Raw genomic sequence first — 27,066 nt, forward strand, 5'->3', positions numbered from 1 at the left:
TGTGACCAGTTTCAAGGAAGGATATTTATAGACAGAAAAAACAATACACAAACCAAAAAATATTCCAAAGATATTTATGTTTATTGTTTTAAATTTAAATAGAAAAAATACATTAGAGGGATATAATGTTTTATATTTTAATAATTCCAGAGTTTAGCTCCAACACATTTATCTTAAAATATAAGTATCTGTGATTAAATTTTATAGAAATTTAAATCCTTACTATTTTAAAGACTCATTTTCCAGTGAGAAATTGAGACCTGAATAATTCTACAATGCTATGCTCTAGTATAAACTTTGTTTTAAGAAGCAAAGTAACTCTATTACCATAAGTAATAAGTTGAGCTTTGAAAAGCAAGGGACATTTACTTAAAGGGACAGTGTTTAAAAAATCATTTCCTGATGAATTACTTTAAAATAGTAAACCAATATTTGATAATGCTCCTTTTTTTCAAAATAAATTTGCAAAAACAAAATAATAATGACTATGTGCTCCTCACTATAATATACCATGATAATATTCCTACATTGAATAAAATTGCCAATTTCAGGGAGTCAAATGTGATTACTAAAACCTCAAGAAATGTGTTCTTGAGGAAGTAATTTTCCCATAAAATCAAAACACCTCTATCTCCTATCAAACCTTGAACTGTTATAAATATCACACTTTATATTTACTATTCTAATTGAGCAAGAATATTGAAGCTCAGATGATAACAAATTTAGTTTTTATGATATGAGGAAATATGCATTATTGTTTTTTTACTTCTATAATAAGGAATATTTTCAATTGTACAACTAAACAAACAATTTTAAAATTATTCAAGAGAAGAAAGAAGGGAATGGACTTCATATTCCTCAGTTTGTACAACACTTCAGCTGAGAAATCAAAGAAAAGCTTTATTTCTTCTGGAGTTTTCAACATTTTCAGAATCAAAGTAATTATCAGGGGATTTCCTTCATTAAGGATAAGCCAGTGGAAAAAATTAACCTTCTATTTCAAACTACAGACATTCAAAGTATTATCGCATAGATACACCTTTGCATGAAAACCGGATTCTCATTCAATTTACAATGAAGCTCCCTCAAAATCATATAACCTTACCTTATCAACCAACAATTATTTTTCTGCCCCTTGAAAAATGAAAGCTCTGATTTACTGTATACTTGAACTAGGAGACAATATACATAATCAGTAAAATGACAAGCCAACATGCTGCACTGTGTTAGCAACATCTGTAAAGACAAAATGTAGACTATAATTCACAAGTATAAAAGACTGAGAAAAAAATATGTCAATCAAACTTTAACTGAAATGCTATACATTGTCTGTTATCAGAGCTTCTTTTACTTCCCTCTAAGGAAGCTGTTTTCTATGGACTTCAAGTAATAATTTGTATAGATACCCATGGAAATCTATAGTTTGCATATTAATTTGCCTTTGGAAATAATATTATGCAATTGGTAATATCTTATATTGCCAACAACATAACTTTGTTCAGGTATTTGCCAGTCTCCTTTAATGGATACTATAGTAATAATAAAAATGAGACACATATGAGAAAATATAAAATATGAGACATATGAGAAAATATGAAATATGAGACATGAGAAATATTAAACGAGTTCAGCAAAATATTTTATTAAAGAGATGATGTATATGTATTAATATATGAAAAAATCCTAATTGCACTTCACATGATGATATTCATATATGATCTGCAAAATTCAAGGGAGAATTTTTATCAAATTGTGTAAATCCACATTATCTCCATATTTTACATTCTATTTTGCTGACACCATTTGTTTATCCTCTCTGATCACACACACTCACACCAAAATTCCAATGTATTACAGGGAGGTATTTCCAAATTAGGTTATATCTTATAGCAACTAGATTTGCATGGGATAAGTAAAAGTAATGAAAAGTTTGTTTTACTGAAAACTAGATGAAATGTATACAGTAGAAAAATTAAAGAAGACTATAATTAGTTTTAAATCTTAGTGTTAATATAGAATATATTTAATTTATCCTTTACTACTTGTGTAACATAATCAACTCTGTCATAGCTTGAGGTATCTGATGACATTTCAAATACATTTGTGTAATTCTTTTTTGCAGGTTAGTATTTTCAATTAAATTAATCGGTTCAGTGATAATATCATACTCTTGAATATCGTAAATTTCCTTTGCATAGTTCCATTTTTCCATTTTGAAGTGGAGATGTTTGTCTCTAGTAAAAGGAAAGGATAACATTTTATTCAAAATTTCTTTTATATTACGCATGGGTATTTCTTTTTTTTTTTAACGGAAGTAATTAGTGGTAGAGAAAAGCTATTAAGAAACCATAGCATTTAAAAATTTTCCATTAAATGTATCGTTATCCAAAAAGAAATTAAAAACGTTTATACTTATAATTAAAGGAATAAGTACTTCACTAATCTACTGATGAATTGAAGGACAGGAAAATATAAACAGTGTAATAAATTAACATTGGGATAGAAATACACGACTGAAAAGTAAAGCCCAAGAGGGAAAAATGAAAATACAAAGGAAAGGGAAGCAATCTCAGAGGAAAACTCTGGGATTCCCCTATAGAAACTAAAGAAGCTTGCAGAAATACTACCAAGGAAAATGTAAAAAGAATTTATTTTTTATACAGGAGTTCTTTCTATCAGCTTCCTAGTCCTTCTCAATTTTCTAAGGTGCCATACAGCTGGTTTAATCCAGATTTAATCTAGGTTTAATGCTTGATTCCAGTGACATCTGATATACAGAAGGTAAAAGCCATGTAGCTCTGGTGGTCATATCAGTAAAAGATACTCTGGTCAATCCCTGGTCTATTGGAAGTGCAAATAACATATGGTGACTCAGTTAAAGGTGGTGAAATAAAAATATTTATAATTCACTCCCCACCTAAGACAGTCTCCAAAAATAACATAATGAAAAATTGAGAAAAAAAAATGAAAACCATATCTGTAATTAACAAGTAATTGATGACAAACTATAGTCAGCAGCTTTTAAGTAGGTAGCCATTTGCACTAATAGGAGAAAGGAAATTGACTGGCATATATCTTGGGCAGGATGTAGATTTCAATAAGTATCATTATCCTGCGATGTTTCAAACAAAGATGGTTTGTTTGAAACCTCTGTAAGATAGAGTGTAAACAGGCAAGAAAAAGACAAAATCTGTCTTCATACGATTTTACTATATACTTCCGAATAGTGGAATGTAGAGGTAAAGATAAAAATTCTGATAGACTATATTTGAGAGTTGTGAACAAGCTTGCTGAATAATATAGAATACTAAGGCTAATGTGGGGAAGGGGGTGGGACTACAAGCAATAATCACTAGCAATAACATAAAGAAAGTAAAACAGAGAGTTTTACACTGTGAACTACATAGGCCGCCCAAATGTCAAAAATAGATATAAAAATATGGTGCCTGGGCAGAAGAAAAAACACATAAAACGGTTTTGGGGAGGTGGGCTTGAAACCTGAAATTTAAATAGCTTCTGTGGGCTGATCTGACTCACCCTCCCACCACTTCCCACACTGTAGTTCAGTAAATAGCTGGCTCTGCTCAGTGATTAATAGAAAGAAACCAGCCCCAAAAATAGGCAAGGGAGATAAAACCTCAATGAAAAAGCAGATGAAGCTCACGCCAGATAAAAACTTTTTCAAGAAATAGAGGAAGAGTTTATATAAATAGGTCTCTGTAGTCTCAAAAAATATTATAGACATGATCTCATTAATAGAGAAACATGAGAAGCTCAAAGAAGATATTTCAATAAAGCAATGGTAAAAATAGAGAAAGAGAAGAAAAATGAAATGACAGTGACCAAGAAAGCAATGGAAAACAAAATTAACCATTATGAAGTTGAAAAGTACATTGGAAGTTACAAAATAGAATAATCACAACTGAAAACTCACTAGGGTTATGGTTGACAAAAGTTAAAGAAAATTTTAAAGATACCAAAGTAGTTACAAAGAATACTGTAAATAGTTACAGAGCAGTGGTCCCCAACCCCTGGGCCACTGACCAGTACTTATCCATGACCTGTTAGGAATTGGGCAGCACAACAGGAGGTGAGTGGCACCCATTGAGCATTATCGCCTGAGCTCTGCCTCCTGTCAGATTAGCGGCGGCATTAGATTCTCATAGGAGGGCATGCAAGGTTGTCCGCTCCTTATGAGAATCGACTAATGCCTGATGATCTGAGATGGAACAATTTCATCTGAAAACCATTCCCCCACCCTCACCCGTGCCTGTTGCCAAAACAGTTGGGGACTATTGTATAGAGACAAAAGGGATTTGACATAATTGGCATTTCTTAAAAAAAAAAAATTAACTTAGACAAAATTGCAGAAAATTTTCCTGAAATAAAGATTGAAACCTGGGATAAAAAGCTCTGACTCTCTAAATCTCTTGCTTTAAAGAAGCACCATCCAAATTTCAACAATTTCTTCAGTTTTACCCTCCAATTTTAATCTTATCTTGAGATAAAAGTCAATTTAATTTTTTATTATTTAATGGCAGCATGTATGTCATATTGGCTTCTACATTTATAAAACTCTGTCTTTTAATCAAGCAATCTACTCTTCTAGACAAACATATCCAAATACAAAATATTTCTGATTTCTGGGTGGTAGAATTTTGAGATTGTTTTTAAGTTTCTACAATGTCTATCTTTAACAGTCATGTATCACTTTTACAAATGACAATGAAGTCATTGCGGTCAAAAAAAGAAAAAAGGAATAGAAGGCAAAGTTTAAGACAGGAAAGAAAAAATAAGAGATCTCAACTGTTCCACTACCTCTAGATTTGTGGCCCTCCAAACCATAGTTCACACAATAATCAGGTGCTTTCTCTAAAACAGAAAAATAAGGATGTTAGTTTTCATCGTATTATTCTTCAAGATTTTTAATAAATTGCCACTAATCCTGATCAAATTCCATTCCTTCAGTAATTTACACAAAACTCTTCCTAATCCAGGCTCTTTAGGTCTTTCCAACATCAACAACTCTCACTTCCCTGCATTCACCCTTACCTCCAAACACAGAACTAAGAATTTGTAGTAAGAGTTCCCCTTGACTTTCCACATCCTCATCTCTTCTCCTGCCTCAGGTGCTGATAAAATTGCGCTTTCATTTTTTTGTTTGTTTGTGGAAGTGGGAATGGAGGCTATAAGAACTCCAAATCATTCTATAAAATTTAGCTTAAGATTATATCTGTGAAACCTTCTCTGCTATCACTCTTGTTCCTCTCCTTCAACAATGTAATTAAGTTATGTGGATCTTTTATCCACCTCTATCTAGATCAGTGCTATGCTGAGCAATTTTGGAGCCTGAGGCAGAAGAAAATATTATTACTACTGATTCTATTAATTTATTTAAAATTTGTATATTCTGTTCATCATAAATCTTTTGCATTAATTTTGAGTTTTAAAAATATTCACTTAAATATTAGGTATCTTGATTATTGAAGTTTTGATGTCCCCATATATATTTGTGCCTGAGATGAGTATCACTCTAGTTTTGGCCCTGCTGTATTCTACTGAAGCATTAGTTACATCCCATAATTTTTTGTCTATGCATCTATCATCTCTTCCGGACTGTGACTACCTGCAAGGAAAGGGGCTATTTTTATCTCTGTATATCTAAAAATCAGCACAGTACCCAAACTGGGCAGGAGCCCATTTAGTGAATAAAAGCCCAGGAAATCCCAGAAAAGAGAAATAGCCAATATTCTACTGTCTTTAAAGAATACAGTCTTCCCTGGGGAAGAATATACTTTATCTAAATGGAGAGATGTTATATATATTTTTGAAGGTAGGGAAACCTTAGTTTGAAGCAAGCAATGAACTTAAAGTAATCAAGCAGTAGAACTAAATTTTTGTCCATAAACACTTATTTGTGGTTCAAAGTATTCAGTGTTTTTCTTACAAGAGTATGCTTGTATTTACTATGAGAATCAGAGAGTATTAAAACTGAAAAGCTCTTAGATATTACATAATCCACCTCCTCCCTGTTATAAATGAGGAATCAGTCTTAGAGAGGTTAAGAGACTTGTTTAAAACCACAAGACACTCAGAACTTGAAATTAAGTGACCCATCTCCACACCTGGTGTCTTTTACTGGAGAATATTTACAAATTGAGAAGAGAAGACCATTAAGAACAGGAATGGGGAGAGTGGAGATATTTTTCTAGGCCAGGAAGTATTGGCCAGCTCATGGGTAAAATAAGCCACAAATAAATTGTTTATGCTTTGTTTGAAAAGGGGTCACTTTTAAGGTGAGATTATTGAAAAATGACCTTTCAAAGTTCTTTCCAACCCTGTGATTTTATCTTTGTCATGTAACTTCTCTGTGACTCATTTCATCAAAAAAAGTGTGACTCTACTCTCTACCTACTTTAATACAAGATTTGTGAGGTCCAATTTAAAATATACATTATTCAAAGTACTATGTATATGCACAAGTGCAAGTCATTTTAAAATGTGGATTAATCATGTAAATATATGTTTATACCTAGTCATGCCTGGAGGAAATTGAAAGTAATTATGTAGCAGTTAGTGGCCAACATGGACTGCAGATACTAGGTCCTGAATAAAATTATTCTGAATTTCATCTTTAAAAGAGTTATATAAAGGTACCATTCTCAGCCAAAATTATTCATTATTATTCATAGATAACCAGAACTTTGGGTGCCCCTAATCATTCTTCTGAGATTTTCTAAGAGGGAAAAGTGACTGGCTCTTTGCAAAAGTGTTTTTACTTGATGTACCTCTGGGTTATTGGGAAGATAGAAATAATGACCAAAATAAAAATCACTGAATGAATTTGATGAAATTCAGTTAAGGAAAGCAAACAACATATTATTATTATTATTATTATTATTATTATTATTATTATTATTATCATCATTATTATCATTGTGTGCAAATGAAATAATTTATTTTAATAATAATGTTTAAGCTTTCTGGTTAATGTGTTCTTCAAATTAACAATTAAGAATCCTTGGTTAATTCTGTCCTTTCTCATTCTTTGGCCACATGATGTATTTTTAAACCTTCATATGTAAAGGTAAGAAAAAAAATCATTTCTTTTTATCTCTTTACACTCTGTAAGATTTGTAGAAGAACACTTTTTTTTAAAGGAAGCCAATGAATAACCAAATAATTATTTCTTAAGATAGGCCAATAGATTAGCAAAGAGTAAGAGTTCCTCACCAAAAACAACAACAACAACAACAACAACAACAACAAAACCAGCCTTTTCATCAGAATAGTGAACTATCAGTTTCCAGCATAGTTCCTGGAACAAAGTACGCTCTGAATAACTAGTAGCGAATGAATTGTGCTTCCAACCATATTTCCAAACATCGTCCTCAAGGCCAGAAATCTATTCACATTCATGAAATAATTTATGATAAGCTTTTTTGTACAAGTACTCTTTATTAAATATATACATATATACAGGTGTTACTGGACCTAATTTTACTAGAATCAATTTTAAATTGGGGGGTTGGGACTGGGTGATTTCGACAGTATCTTTCAGCCTTAAAATGTGTTGATTCTATGGAATACCTAGAAAGACAGCCAAGAATGATTTCTCAGATATGACTTACAATTAATATTTGGCATTTGCACAATTTTCAGGTATCAAAAACAACCATTATAAGGTAGTGCAATATCTGAAAAATCGATGCCAATTAACTACTATCACTTCTTTTCTATAAAAACAAAAAGAGAGAGAGAGATTTTGTCTGCAAGGTGGTCATTTCTATCAATATGTTCCCTAAAACACCCAGAACACATTCACTCATCCATTCCAGAGCAGATAGAGAGAAGCACAGAAGAAAATCTAGAGGCAATATGACAAAAAACCATACTTAGATTCAGCTGCATAGACAGTTGCAAAATTCTCAAGTAAGTTGTTAAGCCTACCTAATGAGAAAGAAGTCAGTAGATGAAAACCCTGATAAATCACATAGCAGAGTCAGTGGCATCCTACCCGACAGCTATTTTTTTCTTTACTCCTTTCATTTGCTGCTCTCTTAATTTTAAAATATTCCCCTTAGTTATTAAACCTTAAAAAAACTCCCAAAAAAACCAACATGATGACTGCCCAGAATTACAGAACTACGGACACAAAACTCTTCAAAATTTAGCATTTCACTAGCTAATATCTAGATCTATCTTGGGGAAAGCACCTGAAAAAGCCTGTGCTCAGTTCCTATGTCTGATGATTCTGTGATTCTGATCAAATTCTACTCTGTGACTCTGATCAAATTTGCGACAGTTAATCTATTAAGTCTTATATTGCCCTGATTTTTACTTTCAAGTACATAATGCTTTTCACTTATAGAACAATCTGTACCATATTCTCATCTATTTTGAAAACCAATTGCTGAAGTTGTACTGACATCAAAGTGGTTATGTGAACAAATATATTTGTTATCCACTATCAGTAGAGGCTGAAAAATATTTTGAATATGTTGTCAGACTCTAAATAAATGTCCTTCACTAAAGAATGCAATGTCCTCTGCTAGTTTATGGTTCTTTGGCATGCATTGACTGTTCTACTTTTTAAGTAATATTGTAGATAAAGGTGCAAGAGCTTTCCTAGAGAGACAGTTTCTAGCATAGTTCCTGGAACACAGTAGGCTCTGAATAACTATGTAGTAAATAAACACATAACTGAATGAACTACCATGAAAAAGAATTCATACAATGAGTTAAACTTTGGCTCAGAGAACAAAATTTCAAGTCAACTGTTAAGTACTGTTTAGCCAACATAAGAAAGGGAAGATATTTCCTCTGGTCTTTGTCTTAGTTTTTTATGCAGCAGATATTTTACTCTATTGATCAGTGTTTATACTATTCCATTTCCTTTTGCCAATGTTTAATTTAACAGGAAAATTCCTTTTCTTGAAGTTCCTAAGAAGATCACCAAAGGTCACTGCATATGACATCTAATAAACAATTCTGGTTAAGGGTAGTGCCACTGGGAAATTTAGGGTGGCAGGTTGATACTCATAGGGCAGATTTTTAAAATGTCATAGTCTGTTTTCAAATATCAATGAAAAAATATGCGCCACTTGTCTCTAATAGCTCTATTTCTCTTATCCCAACTTTCCAGGATGGTGTGTATTCTATCTAACTGAATGCTGAGTTCTTTTAAAATAATTTTTCTGAAAAAAAACATAGTTCACTTTTTCACTCAGGAATTAATTAACTCTCCCAATAACTGGCTTATATCTTTAAATGGAAAAATTACACAGAGTTTTTATTTTAGTAAAGAATATTTGTTTATATTTAAAAACATTTAAAAAGACATTCTGCATTTTCATCATCTTTTAGCAAACTACTATAGCAACGAAATTACATTAGACTTTCTGATTTCTCCATAGTGTCCTTAGATAAATAAACAACCCAATAAACCATGTTAAATGCCCCAAATGTGACTGGAAAGAGAATACGGGCATATTTGTCTATTTTACTTGTGCCAGATCCAGAAGGTGGTGGAGCCGATGGAGGAGGAGTAGCTGACAACTTCCCAGTAGCCCCTATGGTATTAACTGTGGTCTTTATCCTCTGCAGTCTTGATCCAAACACGTGACGAGTAGAAGCAGATCCAACTGAAGCCTTTCGAGGCATATATCCAGTTCGGATAGAAGTAGGAGAAGCAGATGGAAGTGCTCTTGCTGCAGATATGGTTTCAGCTGCATTTGCACGGCTGAATGGGTTTGGACTGGAAGCTAAGTAAGACCGAGGTGTGCCTTTAGAAGATTCTTGAACAACTGTGGAAGATTTGCTTGAATGGTTTCCCACCTCAGTTCTGTTGCCAACATCAGATTCAGAGTGAACCAAAGCATTTGTTCTTTTTCTCATGTTCAAATTGGCATTTGTATTCTGAAAAGGTATATGAAAAAATATATTGGTTATGTAACTTTATGCAGATTTGTACAAAATTTAAAGGGATCAAAATTCTTAAAATTAGTCATTTCCATAAAATAAAACTTTATTAATAAGCTGTAGTCATCTTGATTTTAAAAACCTTTAAAATACATAACTAAAATATAATGTGCATACATTTGAAACTTTGAATCAAAAATCTTCTATTTCAAAATATGGTACATTCTTATAAATAATTAAACCTTAAATCTATAGAAAAAAGATCAAGTTGTTAGAACTACAAGCTGAGGTCATGCTTAATTGCATTTTAAGAGTTAATGAATACTGCTGTAAAAGTTATTTGTTTAGCTTTATTGCAAATAATATTCTGTATATGTCATATACATTTCAAAGTTTTCTATGTGTTTGTTTTATAAACAGGGAGAACTATACCTAGTCATGTACACAGAATATCAACAATAACAACTATCCATACGTACCTAACATTCCTTTATTTAAAAAAGTCCAAAAACTTTGATTTCTAAGTCCTTTCAATTTACTTTCATGAAAAGCATAGATAATAGTACACATTATTATGAAATCTAATAATACTGACATATTTTATTTTTCACTTCAATTAATGATGAAAATACAAATAAAATTTAATTAGAAAAAGGTTGTATTAGACTTATAAACAGCATCAACCAACAGTTGCATAAATATCTGAATTCAAACCATTAACCAATAAAGAGTGATTAAATTGAAATATTTCACTGCTTTTCAGCAAATTATTTTGTTTGTAGAACAAGATTATATTTGAAGAAAGTTGTGCAGTAAACCACTAAAATTCTTATAATATTGACAGCCACAATAAATAACTATATACATAATTAATTATAGATTCTCCATGCTAATGAAGGACAGTAATTTCTCAGATGTTCCCTGAAATACCCACGTCTGAGTTTTTAGAATATACTATTATATTTTTGCAGGAATTTGTCCTCCCTAACTATGCTTATTCTTAGCTATAGTAATGTTAGATGATCATTACTTTCCATAACTTCTCCCCTTACCATTTCATGAAGTAGATGGTGAGTGAAAAAATGGAGAAATAGAGGAAAGAGAAAGAAGAGCAGCTAATAAAAGGGTGATTGGAAGAAGCCAGCCTCAAAGGGCAATTCACAGATACTAATAATATATGAAGTGGGTAGATTATATACAATTAATTGAAATCTCACTTTAGACATAAAGGTTTATTCTACAAATGTATTCTTTTTTAGTATACTCATCTAGCATGTTTAAAGTTCAATTCATATCTCATAAATCATGACTTCAAGGTCGCTGAGTAGAGAAGGAAAAACAGCCTCACAAAACAGAGCCAGTGTAGACTCTGACAGGTGTAGAAAGCATTCGTCATGTCAGCTTGTAGTATTCTTCTAAGCAGGGTGCAGTTGAACTAATGAGAAATTGTAGCCTAACATATGGCACTGAATTTGGGTGGAGAAAATTGAAATCAAAATTGACATCAACCTGAAAGCTGAAGAACCATTACTTATCCTGCAGTTTTCCTCTATACAGAACATTGTAAATGTCACCTAATTAATCCTCAGATTTTGAATCTCTTGTTACAGAAAAGGATAGTAATTAACTGATTATCATTGATCCTAAAATATTATATACATGGTGAATAACATAAAAAAAGAACAAGGTATATCCTCAAAATTTAAAGAGCATATATAATCATTGGCAAGGAAACATACATACACACATGATACAATAAAAAATATAATGAAAGGTAAAATATATTCAAGAACCAAACTATGACCAAATGCTGAATATCCCAAGAAGAGAAGAAAAGAGAGTAAAATGATAAATTGGACAAACAGGAAAGAAATACATTTTTTTTTCAAATATAATATGATAGTTGCATACCATCTTCTTCTTTCAGTCAGTTAGGTTGTCCATGACCTTTAGAAATCTGTATGTTTCCTAATACCAAATTCTAAGGACTGGAGACTTTCCCTTCCAGCCAAAATGAAGTAACAGGAACTAAGTCTACTTTCCTGCCTAAAATGACCCCCAAAACTTAAAACAAATGCAAAAAAAAAACCTGTTGTTTGAAGAAACTGGCCATTAGACAACACAGAACCATAATCACCGAGAGGGAAGAAACAAACTTGAGAGAGTTGCCATGCTGTGGTTTAGGAAAGGAAAAAACAGAAAAAAACTGGCAGGCTTCCTGAACTGAAGAGATGAAGTTGAGAGTCTTGGGAGACCAAGATGGCTAGAGTTCACAGGACAAAGTACCAGAGATAAGAATGCTAAACAAAGAGAGAACTCCAAAGATCTAAAGAGAGTCCCCATTGAGTATTTTACTAAGCAAAGATCAGTTTATGGGTGTGAGGTAACTACCCAAGGCTGAAAGGAACCGTCCAAAATGATTAGAAGAAACAATACCTGACATTCACCCAAAGCCAGGAATAGTGCATGTTTCCACCTGCTGCACTAGAAAATGTCAACATTCATGTAGCATTTGGTAGAGTACGTAGAAGTTCCTGTCTTAATAGTATAGTATAAATAGCCTCAAACACTGCTCTGGTATTGTCTAATGAATTTTAAGAGCAAGAGTAGGAAGGATCAAACTGACTCTAAGTAACTTTACTGCCCCCCAAAACAAAGTATTAAAACATTTAAGTTCTTTCGTTCTAGACCAGTATGCTTCTGGAATGTCCTGAAATCTTGTGAATTGTGTTCTATATAATAGACTGGCTTCAAAAGTGACACCAATTCATCATTTCTCTTTATATTCCTGCCTCCATATTCATGCTCCACATTCATGTCCAGGAGCTTACCCACTCCTGACCCATCCAGAGTTGGAGTCTATTTTTCCTAAGCTGGCTAATGACTTTCTTTGTTCAATAGTATGTGGCGGAAATGATAGTTTGTCATTTCCAATTCTTAACCTCAACAGTTCTTACTTGCTTACACTCTTTCTGGAAACACTGACACCACCACCATAAGAACAGGTCAGCCTGGGCTAGCCTGCTAGAGATTGAGAGCTCATTTGGAGAATAGCCAGTTATCACAATGAGACAAGCCTAGAACATCCAACAACTAGCTGACACTAGATTCATGAGTGTTCCGTTAAGAGAAAATGAGCTGCCCGAGCAAGCGTAATCAACATCAACAGAATCCACAGTTGATCCACAGATTTGGGAGCAAAAATAAATATTAATTGTGTGTACCTGAAGTATCATTTTTTTTGTTATGCAATATTATTGTGGCAATAGATAATAGATAGATGAGTTAGATCAAAGGTCCTGATGGGAGGTGCTGCCAAGGGCTCGTGAGGGCGGAAGTTCCTCAGACATTCTGGGATACTTAGAAGATTGGCCTGCCCAGAACTCATAGAGGACCTTTAGGGGGCACTGTTGCCTAATCCACACGCTAGCTGAAGGACCAACATATTTTGCCCTTCATAATCCCACTCTATAAGAATTACAATATTTTAAAACAGAAAGGGATTTCAGTGATCAACTTATTCCATTACCTCATTTTCCAGTAGAGAAAAGTAAGAACAGAAAGGTTACAGGTCACTGGAAGTCATACAGCAAGTTACTTACTTGGTGTCTGTTCTGCCTCACTGTAGAGGTTCTCTACTCACAAATGTGGAGGAGGCTTTAAAGAACTTAACAAGCTGCACATATTTGAGTCAGTCAAGTACTCATAGTAGTATAATGTTAAGAAAAATTATACAAGACTTGGACATCAGAAAAAAATACAGCATGTCCTTTCAATGTCATAATAGAGTATTGTTTAACAAGCCCACTCAAGGATTATTAAGTCTTTAGAATAATTTACTTGAGTTTGATTTTGCCATTTAATATTTTATTAGAACCCAAACACTGTCAAGTTAACATATTCAATTATGGATTCCTGTCTAGTACAAAAGATCATGAAAGGTTATGGTTTTATTGCCTTGTCAGACATTAAGCACTTCTGTATTTAACCTACCAGTCTTATTTTACTTTTCCTTTTAAAAAATTGCCTATACGTAGCCATTCCTCAAAAAGATTTTGAATCCATTTTACCATCTAAGTGGGTCTCTCATTAATTAACAATTGAACCAATCTTGGAGACCTGTCCATTCATTATTTGTATGTCATGCTTTTGACAGTTGGAAAACTATATTCTGATGATATCTACTATTGGATAAGTTATAAATATCGAAGAAATAAAATCTTACATTTGAAGAATATGCCTAGAGAAAGAGGAGAGTCTAAGCAAAAATAAAAAGAATCAGTCTAAGGTGGTTAGAAAAAAGAACAATGAAGTAAGAGACTTTTTGAGAGTGGGGTGTGCAACATGAACAGTACCAAAAAGATTACTGTCTGAAAACAAAGATCAAGTGTTTTTATTCCAGTTTAAAAGAAGTAATGAGCTAGAGTATAAAGACTGTCTTATCAATCATTGTAGATTAATGCACACAGTAGGCACCTATTTCATATTTGATAAATTGCATTAAAATGGATATCCTATAGAATCAAGATCCTTTTTCAAATTAGAAAGTGTCAAAAATTTTTATCTGATCTCCAATTTATTATTTCTTTTTCTATGGGACACATCTTTAGAATATTGCAGGTAGTGCCTAAGGCATTTAAGTTATCTTGACTCAATCCCAAGTCTGGCTGAGAATGCCTTAGAAGTTTCACTATTCTGTATATCATATCCTACATAAAGGAAAGTGGAATTAGACTGATTTGAGGCTTAAATCATTGCTCTCTGCCAAGCAGTTAAATGACACTCAAGTTATTTTTGCAGTTATGTCTCAAGTTTTACTCTGTTAAAAGTAGTCATTTTCCATGATGACAGACCACAAAAGGAATAAGGTATCTGCTGATCTATCTGGCACACGACTCACTGGGAAGAATATTCACCCAGCTTTCACATTTTGGTGCAACTAATGTGTCAGAGTGATGTTGTGTTTCGTACAGAGTGTAGAGACTTCAGTGGTTCTATCATGATTTAGCTGATGCACAGTGGTTTCGAACAAGAAAAAGCACCTAAGCTTCATTTGAATTTTAAAAAATGATTTAGTTTGAAATTACTTTGTCATTAGTCACAATAGCCTGAAGCAAGAAAAGAGATGCAAGGTGGTAGATTTAAACATTACCAACAAATTAAAGCAGCAACAGGCAAACAGGAGCAGATCCAGGCAATTCGTCAGTCATGACTGTGATCTGACACAATTTCTAAATAATTTTTATCAACTGCAAAAAAAACTCATCTCAACTTATGACTCTAGCAGCAATGAGATAAAGTGACTAAGATTAGGTCTGCAGAATGCACACAGCTACATTCATATTACTTGCTTGAGAAGCTAATGAAGTTTAATAAAATGTAACTTAATCCTTGTAAATTAAAAACTAACAAGACTGATAACGAATAGGTTTATCTTCTAGAATATCAATGAGTCACATACTAAAAAAAAAGAATCTAGTAATATAAAGACATTTATTCAAGATCATTTGGACAGGACTTCATGGGTAAGCCACACATCTTATTTAATAGGGAAATAAACAAATGTGGTAGAGCAGCTAGAACTAAACTCCAAGGTAATGATTTACTGAGAAATATCAACAGCATTTTTAGAACGTGCTACACGTAGAAATTTTTAACACATCCCCTCCAAATAAACATGCTAAATATTTTATATACCAAGGCACTCTATCATATATTGAGCTCCAAAATGTAGAAACCAAAATGCTGAGTTCCCTATTTATTGTATTTAATTTCCTCCCAATGTTGGCATTTAATTCAATGTTTGTATTTCCATAAGTTACAGAAATACTACTTTCAATATCAGGCACTGGGATAAACTTTTGTTTTCCATTTGGGATTACCAGAAAAAGAAATCTTAAAGAATCCATTCATTTTCCCTTTATATATTTAGAGTTGAGGGTTTAAAACATTAGAATTTCTTTAAGATAGGTGACTTTGTGATTACTTTTGTTTCATACTGATTCCTAGTGTTTCCTTTTTATTTGTAAATGTTTTGTATGGTAGACACATGGCTCCAATGGAGGAAACCGCTTTGTTAGAGACTTCTTTGGTCAGAGCAGAGGTTCTTAGCTTGATTAAGCAAACTTGTTCAAATGCTACCTGAAATCATGCCAGGAACTGCTTTCATCAATGCCGCCAACATAACCCTGGAGAGAAAAGAGTGCAAAGGACACTCCACTCACTTCCTCTAAATACAGATACTATGCTAGATGAATCTTTTCTTATTCAATGTAGAAAAGCAGTATTGTGGTCATACAAAGTGTTTATAAAAATAATCTGAGACTGGTTAAAAACTCAAAGTCTCAAACAAGCCCTATTTGCAGGAAGTGTTTTTCATTAGCTATGCCATTGCCAGTGATCCAGGGATCAGAAATTGAAAAACACTTGCTAAACAGTTAAAATTGTGGGCTCCCAAATAAGACAGACCTGGTTGCAAATACCGAATTTGTCATTTACTAGCTATGAGATATTCAGCAAGTTATTTAGCCTCTCAAAACCTCAAAGTCCTTGCTATAGGAGTAATAATGCTGCCTTCCTCCTAATAAATATATAAGATAATGCATGTAAGGCACTTAGCTTAATGTCTAGCACATAGTAGGATTCAAACGAATATTACATAGAAAGAACCCAGCTGAAGTCACATAATAAGATTCTGCCTCCAAAAGAAAATGATATGTCACAGAAATAAATAATTACGGGAAACAAAATTTTAGAAGACAATATTATACGTCTATGAAAATATGGCCATCATGTCTAATAATTACCAAAGCAAATGATCACTGAAGGAAAGAATAGTCTATGGAGTGGGAGTTGAACAATGAGAACACACGGACACAGGGAGGGGAACATCATACACTAGGGCCTGTTTGGGGTGGGGGGCTAGGGGAGGGATAGCATTGGGAGAAATGTCTAATGTAGATGACGGGTTGATGGGTGCAGCACGCCACCATGGCACGTGTATACCTATGTAACAAACCTGCACGTTCTGCACATGCATCCCAGAACTTAAAGTATAATTTTAAAAAGTTTTTAAAAAAAGAATATTCTATGGTGAAGTCAGTCAGGGAAAGGATGTTGCTGGTGACAATGAGAAATAAATACAAATAAATACAAAATGCAATAGAAAAATCAAAATTCATATAGGTAGTATGGGTGCGAATTAACACTAGAGTAAACCTTATAACTTATGCATAAGACGTATGTCAAAAAGCTCTTCAGGAAAAAGTAGCAATAACAACAACAGCCAAAACAATGGTTAACTTTTCTTGAGTGATTCTTTTGCACCTGGCACTCAGCTAACATGCTTTTAACTGAACTATCTACTACACCTAATGTCATGTGCCATGTAGGAAAGACTACAGCCACAAGTGTTTCAATGTCTAAAAAAAGATGTGGGTTATATAAGAAGGGGATCTTGTGTACTATTCTATCAGATCACTGTTTCTTTTATTCCTTTTCCTTTTTTTGAGACAGAGTTTCGCTCTTGTTGCCCAGGCTGGAGTGCAATGGCGTAATCTTGGCTCACCGCAACCTCTGCCTCCCAGGTTCAAGCAATTCTCCTGCCTCAGCCTGCTGAGTACCTGGGACTACGGGCATGTGCCACCACACCCGGCTAATTTTGTATTTTTTAGTAGAGACAGAGTTTCTCCATGTTTGTCAGGCTGGTCTCGAACTCCTGACCTCAGGTGATCCGCCCACCTCGGCCTCCCAAAGTGCTGGGATTACAGGCATGAGCCACAGCACCTGGCCAGATCACTGTTTCTTTCTGGGACTTTACCAACTATCAGTAAAATCCAGAAAGTGGTCATCAGGGAAACAGCACAGATTGGAGAAAGCATTGCAATCCCAACCTACAAGAATATTCATATGTCATTATGTATGAAAAGACATACCCATAGCATTGGCTCACAATTACAACACTGGCAACCCAGTTTGGCTGGGCCTCTTTCTAAATATATTGGAATATTTAAAAGAATTGTATCTGTGAATCTATTGGTCTGGCACGATAGTGTCACTTTTTTCCCTTTATCTCTTATGTCAATTATAGTAGTCAAAAGGACTTTCTTCAACATATAAATTGCAAGTGGGAAATGGGGCAGTGTAGCCCACCAGACTAGGGATGGCAGAATGCAACAAATGTCAAAGGTCAAAAATGCAAATATTAAGAGGTTTTAATCATTACTGTGGACTGGAATGTGTTTTCCCAAATTCATATGTTGAAAACTGAACTCTCCACATGACTATATTGGAGACAAGACCTTTAAGGAGGTGGTTAAGGTTCAGTGAAGTCACAAAGGTGGAGCCCTGTCCCATGGAACTGGTGCCCTCATAAAAGAAAAAGAAATACCAGGTTTCTCTCTGTCTTCTCACCACCTCCACCTTTCTCCATCATGTGCGGACGCAGTAAGAAAACAGCTATCTTCACATCAAGACAGGAATCCTCACAAGAAACCAAACCCTGTTGGAACCTTTATCTTAGACTTTCTAGCCTCCAGAACTGTGAGAAATAAATTTCTATTGTTTAAGCTAGCCTGTCTGTGCTATTTTGTTATGGCAACCTGAGGAAACTAAAAGAATAATCTAACGTCAATAAAATTAAATTCAAGACACACAGTCTTCCAAAATTTCTAATCTTTTTTATAGGAAAAAAACCACCTCAACGTATCACTCTTTCTTCTTTCAGGTATTTTCTTTGTTTCTAGTCTCTTCTGTTGTGCCTTCTTTACTGAGTGGGTATACTTTTCTGGTAACCCCAAAATTCTAGATAGAGCCAAGATTAAAAAATACATGCAGAAAAGCTAAAATACTTTTGACAAGAATTAAGCATTAATTTCTTTTTAATATTTTTACTTGTGGTTGATGAGAGAAAATACTTTCACACCCACTAGGTGGCATCTACATCCTCTTCCTAATTTGGTCAAAATTGCCTAGATAAGATTCCTCCAGGTAACTCTTGAGTTATTTTCAGCACCTCTTAACCCAAATCAGGGGAATTCGGTTAACTGGAGCTTTTATTTAACCTCAGAGTTTAGACATAATTTGAGCTGCTTCTTCAACCACCAAATATTTTTCCCTGAATATCTTCACCTCCCTGAATATTTTCACTCAGACAGTGAGTGATTATGACTCACTCATAATGTGAATAAGTATGTTTCTGTGTGTATGTGTGCAAGTGTACATGTGTTTTGGATTTCAAAGCATGCATTTGTTTAAATATTGAAAAATGTAATTAACAATATAATTTATAACTTTTCTTTTTCACACTTTATATTAAGAATATTTTTAATCCTTGAAAGTGGAGTTAATATATATAGAGAGAGATCTCATAAAACATTGCAAAAGAATGCTAAATTAGATGGCCAAGTAAATTCACCTTTACAGCATCCACATTATCCTATGGGAATTATTTTATTCAGCTTCAATATATTCAAAAATTACATTCAAACTCAGACAATATTTGCACAATGCTTTATTCTTAATATAGACTTGATATGAGTTGATCACAATGAAATTGTGCTATGATGAATAGCCATCCAGAAAGATTCAAGTCCATGCCAATCCTATAGGAGGCTCGCATAGCAAGTAGTCTGAGTTACAATTTCATCTACATCAGCAAAGGCAACAGGGGCACTGTCTTAAAAACAATCATTTATCAAGGTGGGATTTTCAGTATATTTTTGTTGGGGAGAAAATATTCCATAGCTCAGGAATTATAAGCCATGTACCTCTGTAAAATCATAGCTATGCAAGGTGAGGAAGTCTTTGATGAGCCAAGAACCTTGCTGAATTTGGAATTCCAATTTCCAATTCCAATTCCAATTTCAATTTCTTTGGAATTCCAGACAATGTTTGCCTACTGAACATACACATTTATAATAACTGTAATAGATCTATTTTTAGTGAAAAATAGTTCAAGTTCCATGTTTCATCTCTTGTTGGAGTTTATTATCCAGGTCAAGTGGGTACTAGAAGATCCACAATTAAAGACACAAGTAATAAGGTCTTATTAAAGACACTGATTCAACTCATTCATTCATTCATTCATTCAACTGTTTCAAGTTATTTTGCTGGGCATTGGGAGCACAGGGGTGAAAAATAATACACTCCTTGCAATTTCTCTCAAGAATCACAAAAAAATAAACACAAAATGGTATAAAGAAAAATTAGAGGTACTAGAGAATACATTACCCAGCCTGGGAGATGGGAAAACCTCTTTGTGGAAGTAATACTTAAGCTGAGATATTAGCAACAAGTAAGTTTTAAATAGGCAAAAGAGCTCCTCATTCCCTTATGGGGTGAGGGAAGAAGATGCTGTTGATATTAGAAACAATTTTTCAAAGATTTTTCTCAGTGGTATAAGGATAAGGCAGACCGATACTCTTCCTCGTCAACAGAAATTTGAGGTTTCTTGAAGATATTCTAAATTTCCCTTCTCTTCTTACTTTTTCTTTTAAAGTGAACAATTTTATAATGCATTCTATTCTAACATAATTAATATCTGATAATATCAATTTCCAGGCAGAAATCCTGAATCATCATCAATATTTCTACAATGTATTGAGCCCTTAATATGGGCCAGGCACTACCCAAAGGGTTTTCACAAATAACCTCACATAGTTCCTACAACAACCCATGAGATAGTACTAATGTTTTCATTTTCCCAATGAGGGCACTGAAACCTAAAACGTTGAGCACCTCTCTCTCCCAGCATGATACAATTAAAATGTGTTATTCATTATTTGAATCCCAAATACATACTCTTAACCACTTCAAGAGGCCACCTGGAATAGAAAATATATATACTCATGGAATTAAAAATACATGCTTATGAGATTTTTTTAAAAACAGAAAAAAGTTTATCTGAAATTTGTCCACAATAACCCCTAAGTGATCTTTGTAAACAGTTTGGATTTGACTTACATTTACATAGTTTCCATTATAAGCTAAATACTGTACTAACTTTTTTTGTATCTCACAAAAAATTTTCTCATGATTAGAAAATCCTTTCTTCCCATTGCATGTGAAAATTGTTCTAGGTTCTTACTGATCGTTCTTACTCCCATTCATAATATTCTTTCTACTTTGATGCTTGACTGTCATGAAGTGCTTATAGATAATACTTTGTATCACAAATATCCTCTACATTCAGGCATAAATAAATATTTATAAATAGGCTTACATTTAGTTGATTTATTCTACAGAAAACTGTATCTTAACAAGTGCAATCTAGCTGAGCAAAGTTGTATTTTTAATTGAAGACACTTTCCCTGTGAGTTATTTTAAAAATGCATCAACGCTACTCAAAATCTGCATCTTCTATGTGATAAAAATATTTTTATGATGTTCTTCTACAAGAGGAAATCTATTCCCTATCTTTCTTCCACAAACTATCCCTGAAATTTGGATATAGCACTTTAAAAAGCTATTTAAAAATTTACTATTCAAGATATATGGTAAAACTGATTGAAACATTTTTCCTTTGGTACATAGGATACTGAAATTTCAGCTCCATCTGTAGCCCAGAGAAGGTATCAACATGAGCTCTATCTCTTGTTTCTGATTTGAGAATGATTCTTCAATCACTCTCAAAATTTTCTACAAATAATTAAAATTAATAAAGTTCATTTACACATTTGCCAAATTATGTATAAAGAAACTGTGTGTACACATGTATATGTAGCAGAAGAGGATTCATTAAGTCACCTATTGTGTCAGTTTTTATATTTTTAAAATCAGTCCTCTCCCCCCTAGTCTTTACCAATGGAAGTAGTCAATTGGTCATAAAGCATATGTTGAATTAGCCTATTAACACGATTCATTACAAATCTACTCCATCTATAGTAAAACAGCACATTAAGTCAGCAGAACAAACTCAAGTTCTACTGTGACACCGATTGGTAGCACTTACATTGTTAAACAGACACCCCCCACTCTCAACACCCCCCAAAAAATTGCTGAAGCCATTTGGCTGTTTTCCAGAAAATAATTTAACTTGTCCTGAAGAGTAAGCTCTAAGCTATCAGCTTATGGTTTCCAATGGGCATTATCAAAAAACATTCAACGTTTAACAAGGCTCTCAAGCTGAAACAGCTGTTCATCCAAAGTGAAACTTTTTTTAACTTTCTCTGAGTCTAGCTAATCTTACTTGAGCTAGAAAATAAGGTATTAGACTATTTTGCATGTTCTACCACTTTATGACAAGAAAGCCAATTTTGCACTTCAGTAAAGGCAGATTGCAAATTTAGCATGAATTGAACCAGTAGCTGAGTTGCAATTTATGGCAAATGGCTCATCAGCACATTAATGTATACTGCCAATATAACCACTTCAGCCAGGCAGGCCAGAAACTAGAAGACCCAAATATCTAGTAGGCAGTAAAGGAAATGTGCTCTCTATCAACTTGTATAAAACAAATCTTAAAACCAAAACTATGAACTATCATTATCATTCATTATCATTCTTATGTTAGTACTTAAAAAAACAAAGTCAGAACCATAGGTTCTGAAATCAGATAGATTCAAGTTTTGGACTTCTTTGCTAGATACTAGCTTGATAACCTTGGGTAACTTATTTAGCCTTCCTGTGCTTAAGGTTTCTCCTGAGTACAGTGAGAATAATAACAATAACTACTACTTAGAGTTAGTGGTGTGGTAATTTCCATAAAGTGCTTAACACATTGCTCTAGCATATAGTAAATGATCAATATTTGTTAAATGTTTTTATTCTATTGTTATCATTTAATATTCTAACTCAGATCTGTAGATGGCCCCTGTCAGGTAAAATATTACTATAGAATTGTCCATTATTTCTATACTCAGATATTTGTATTTTTCAACCGAACTAAATGATAATAGTGTAACTTTCCACTTCGGTAAATGTTGGAAATGTATGAGAGCCTGTATTTTGTGCCATGTTCAAAATTCATTTTATTTAGTTTTCCTAGGTGGACATAATCAGCATTCTTGGAGCAACACTAAGAACTAACTAAAACTCTTACCATCTTGCCCAGATCTGCCAATTGTAAAGAGATGATTAAGAGCTCCAAGGTTTAAAAGGCTTAAAAGGTTTCCTCTGGGGGTGGTGACTGCTTCAAGAGAGGCATCAAATCAAGAATCCTGTGGATATTATTCTACTTAATATTAACAACTTAAAAATATTTGCACTTACTCAAAATATAGCATGCTAAAATTTATTTTGGGTTATAAATAAGCAAACATATATCCAGTAGGACACCAATCAGATGTCTTAAAGGCATAACATACTTTTAATTTGTTGATTCATCCAGCCATCTAGTTACTCATCCCATTATTCAACAAATATTTATTGAGTACCTATTTATGTTCCAGGCATTCTTCTTGGTTCTGGTGATACAAGTATAGAAAAACAGTACAAAATTCTTTTCTTTATGGAACATCCACTCATGAGACTCCTCAAATCTGTGAGCTCTTCCAGCAGCTATTATCTACCACTACCAGTCTGGGGAAAAATAGTCTACAATTATGGTTTCCACTTCTTCGTCTGTCACTCACTTTTTAACTCATTGTTACTTGATTATTCTCCCATCTTTCCTTTGAAATTATTTGTGGATCACTATAATTAGCACTTAAAAATCTATGTCTTACCAGTCTAGCCAACACAGTGAAACCCCATCTCTACTAAAAAATATATACAAAAATTAGCCAGACGTGGTGGTGCACACCTGTAATCCCAGCTACTTGGGAGGCTGAGGCATGAGAATTGCTTGAACGCGGAAGGTGGAGTTTGCTGTGAGCTGAGATTGCACTATTGCACTCCAGCCTGGGCGACAGAGTGAGACTCTGTCTCAGAAAAAAAAAAAAAAAAAATTATGTCTTACATACTGTCTCAGTATGTAACACTGTTAATGAATTCTTTGTTTCTTTCAATTCTTCCCATTATTCTATATTCTAGCAATGTTCCATTTGCCTTTATGAGTCTCCAGTGTGGGATGCTTGTTCTCTACCTAACTCTAATGTGTTATTTTTCCATAGGGTTTAGCTGTCAGTTATCACAGTTTTCTTAATCTTCAGGTGAATGGGCCTGTTCAGTTGCTTTGAATACAATATTTATATCAATATCATAAAATCAATGTCTTCTCCCCCCAATTTTTTCTAACATCTAGACGCATATAGCCAGCAAGACATCATTTAGATATCCTAGAGTCATACCAAACTTTTAATTTATTTATTCATCTATCTACCCATTTATTCATTCAATTCTTCAGATATTTATTGAGTGCCAGGCACTGTTCTTGGCTCTGGTAATAGGAGAGTAGAGACCAGCCCAAAGTTCTTACCCTTATGGAACTTACATTCTTGCCCATATTCAAAGTCTAATAGAGGTACGAATTTATTGCTATCTAATAAACTTGATATATTTGTCCAAACAAATATATCTCCTGCTGTAATTTAGATCTCAGAGATTAGCACACTATCCACCTAGCTTTCAAGCCACAAAACTTCAGCTGTTTCTGCTTCCTTCTGCCTTATTCTCTTTTCCTTTCAGTTTTTCTCAGTATTTTTCTAATCTGTCTCTTCTTCTCCACAGCCCTTGCAAAGACATTCAACATTTTTCACCTGGCTATTGCACAACCTATTAACATTTTGAGACTTAACATCCTTATGCACCTTTTATCTCTCTACTCTTCATTAAAATAATATTTACACACTATAAATGTGATCATGTCAATTTCTTATTAAAACTTTTTCAGCGGCACCTGATTGTTTTCAGGGGAAACAATTATATGGCATAGCATTCTACATGATTTGGGCCCTGCCTCCCAGTCCAGCCTCATCATCCCCTTCCTTTCCCCAAACCACCCTCTCAGCCACCTCAGATACCCTGGTATTAGCAAAGGCTATCAGCATCTGGTCCATATTCACTTGGCTTACCCAGGAGGTTACTCCACATAGGCTGGTAACTTACTGCCTTTCTCTGCCTGAGGGACATACTGCCTACAGAATCTTTATAAACATTATTTATTTATTTATATATTTTTAATGTGTAATACAGTTATGGGATACATGTGCTGTTTTGTTATATGCATAGATTGTGTAGTAGTCAAGTCAGGGCTTTTAGGGTATCCATCTCCCAAATAGCATACATTGTACCCATTAACTAATTTCTCAGTAGAATGGTGGATACCAGTGGTGGTGTGGGCCAGGGGGGAATGAGGAGATGTTGTTTAAAGGGTACAATATTTCAGTTATGTAACATGAGTAAATTCTAGAGATCAAGTGCACAGCATCGGGACTACGGTTAATCATACTGTATTGTATACTATAAATTTGCACGAAAGTAAACGTTAAATATTCTCACCACACACAAAAAAGTATCTATGTTAAGAGATAGACATGTTGATTAGCTTGATTGTAGTAATCAGTTCACCATGTACATGTATGTCAAAACATGATGCTGCACACCTTAAATATATACATTTTCAATGTAAATAACACTGCTAAGTGAACCTAATCAACAAAAGACAGGAATTGTTAAGTACTCCAACTTCTTTGTCAGCCAGGGGGCAGTTCTAAGGCTTGTCCCCCACATACTTTGGGAAGGTCCCAAGCATAATGAGCACACAGTGGTAAACCCGCTCATTAATGACACTTGATTGGCTTTTCTTCTTTTCCTTCTCACTTCCCTCACAGTGCTTCTTGAGAACACCTTAAAAATAAATTGCTTGCACACATCCTTGCAACAGAGTCTGCTCTGAGAGAAACCCAAATTAAAACACCTGGACTCTAGCCAGGATGTCTTAGTTTAGTTCTAGAAATGTGAGCCATTTTCCCTTCCTTCTGGTTCTTTGCACATTCTCTTCTCACTGTCTTCTCTCCTTCATCTTCTTTACCTCCCTTTTATAATTTCCAAGATAGTATCTAAATATTTCTTCCTTTGAAAGGTTTATTCTGACACCCCACCACCCTCATCAAATCTTACACCATATAAACTCAAATCAGGACCATTGCATCTTCACACCGCATCCTAATGCTTTTTCCTAGCCTAGCATTCAGCACGCTTGTGTGAGTGCCCCTCCAGACTGTGAGTTTCTTTAAGGGCCTCAACAGTGTCTAACTGTTTTCCTTTCCCTACCAACTAGCACAGTACCAAACACTGGAAAGTATTCAATGAAAGTAAGTCAAATGAATTCGATGAAAAATAAATGATGAGTAAACAGTATTAAAATAAATCAACAACAAAATCATTCTCTCTTGTATACTCAAAATGTTCCACACAATGTGTTTAGGAAGTAAGTAGTTGGCAGAGCTATAAAGTCAAAAGTAGCACATTTAAATCCACTTGAAAACCAGATGACAGTCTTTCATTCTACCCAGATTATACTTCCTGGGCCATGATAGTAGTTAATGGACTGTTTAATGAGTCAGTCCTGGAATATTAACTGATAACCAGAATGAAATGCTTTTCCTCTCCTGTCTCATACATCTGCCTGTTGAAAAGTATGCCTGAGTGACTGCTACTGAGTTGGAAAGGGTCAACTCCTACATCAACCTGCACCTTCCTCTTGCCCTTTGAGGCTACACAGGAAAGGCATGAGGCCCATGGACACCAACCTGCCTCTCCTGGAGCAAAGGGATGAGAAATATGAGCCTGTTCTTCAAACTGCTTGGGACATGTAGCCTGTAGCTGTGATAGCTTGTTTAACAAGGACTGGTTTTTTCCTCTCAATCATAGTTCTAAAGCTATCGTTTATTGAAAAGCTGATTTTTAAAGCACACACTAGAACAGCTTTTCTGTACAGCTGCAATGCTATTTAAATCTTCCATGAATATCTCCACAAACCCAAGAAAATTCTAAACTGAAATACTGCTCTTAGAGAGGACATAGTAAAATAAGACCCTATAGGAGGAAAATTCAGGAAGTGAAATCTGGTTGTTAATTTTAATACTGGAATTATAAAATCAGGCATATAGCTTCCACTCTTCTGAGCTAAAAGAACACCTTAAAACACCATTTGAAAAAGTAGCCTACAGGCTTTTTGTGGAGACTTTGGTAGATACTAGCAATCTCCCTCAAAATCATTCCTTAATAGTCTCCAGGAATGTAAATAAATGCCTCACCTTTTTC

The 27,066-nt window shown here is 34.2% G+C and overlaps 1 protein-coding gene across 3 annotated transcripts in view; it reads right to left on the reverse strand.

Annotated features, from left to right (window-relative positions):
* The window catches only part of GABRA4 (gamma-aminobutyric acid type A receptor subunit alpha4), a 74,682-nt gene continuing 47,678 nt past the window's right edge, over positions 63 to 27,066 (reverse strand). For all 3 annotated transcript variants that reach the window (NM_001204267.2, NM_001204266.2, NM_000809.4), the window contains one exon: positions 63 to 9,918. In NM_001204267.2, the coding sequence (NP_001191196.1) occupies positions 9,388 to 9,918 (531 nt within the window). In that variant the 3' untranslated portion in view covers positions 63 to 9,387. The remainder of the gene's footprint in view (positions 9,919 to 27,066) is intronic.

Source organism: Homo sapiens, chromosome 4, assembly GCF_000001405.40.
Source record: "Homo sapiens chromosome 4, GRCh38.p14 Primary Assembly".
Classification (NCBI taxonomy): Eukaryota; Metazoa; Chordata; class Mammalia; order Primates; family Hominidae; genus Homo; species Homo sapiens.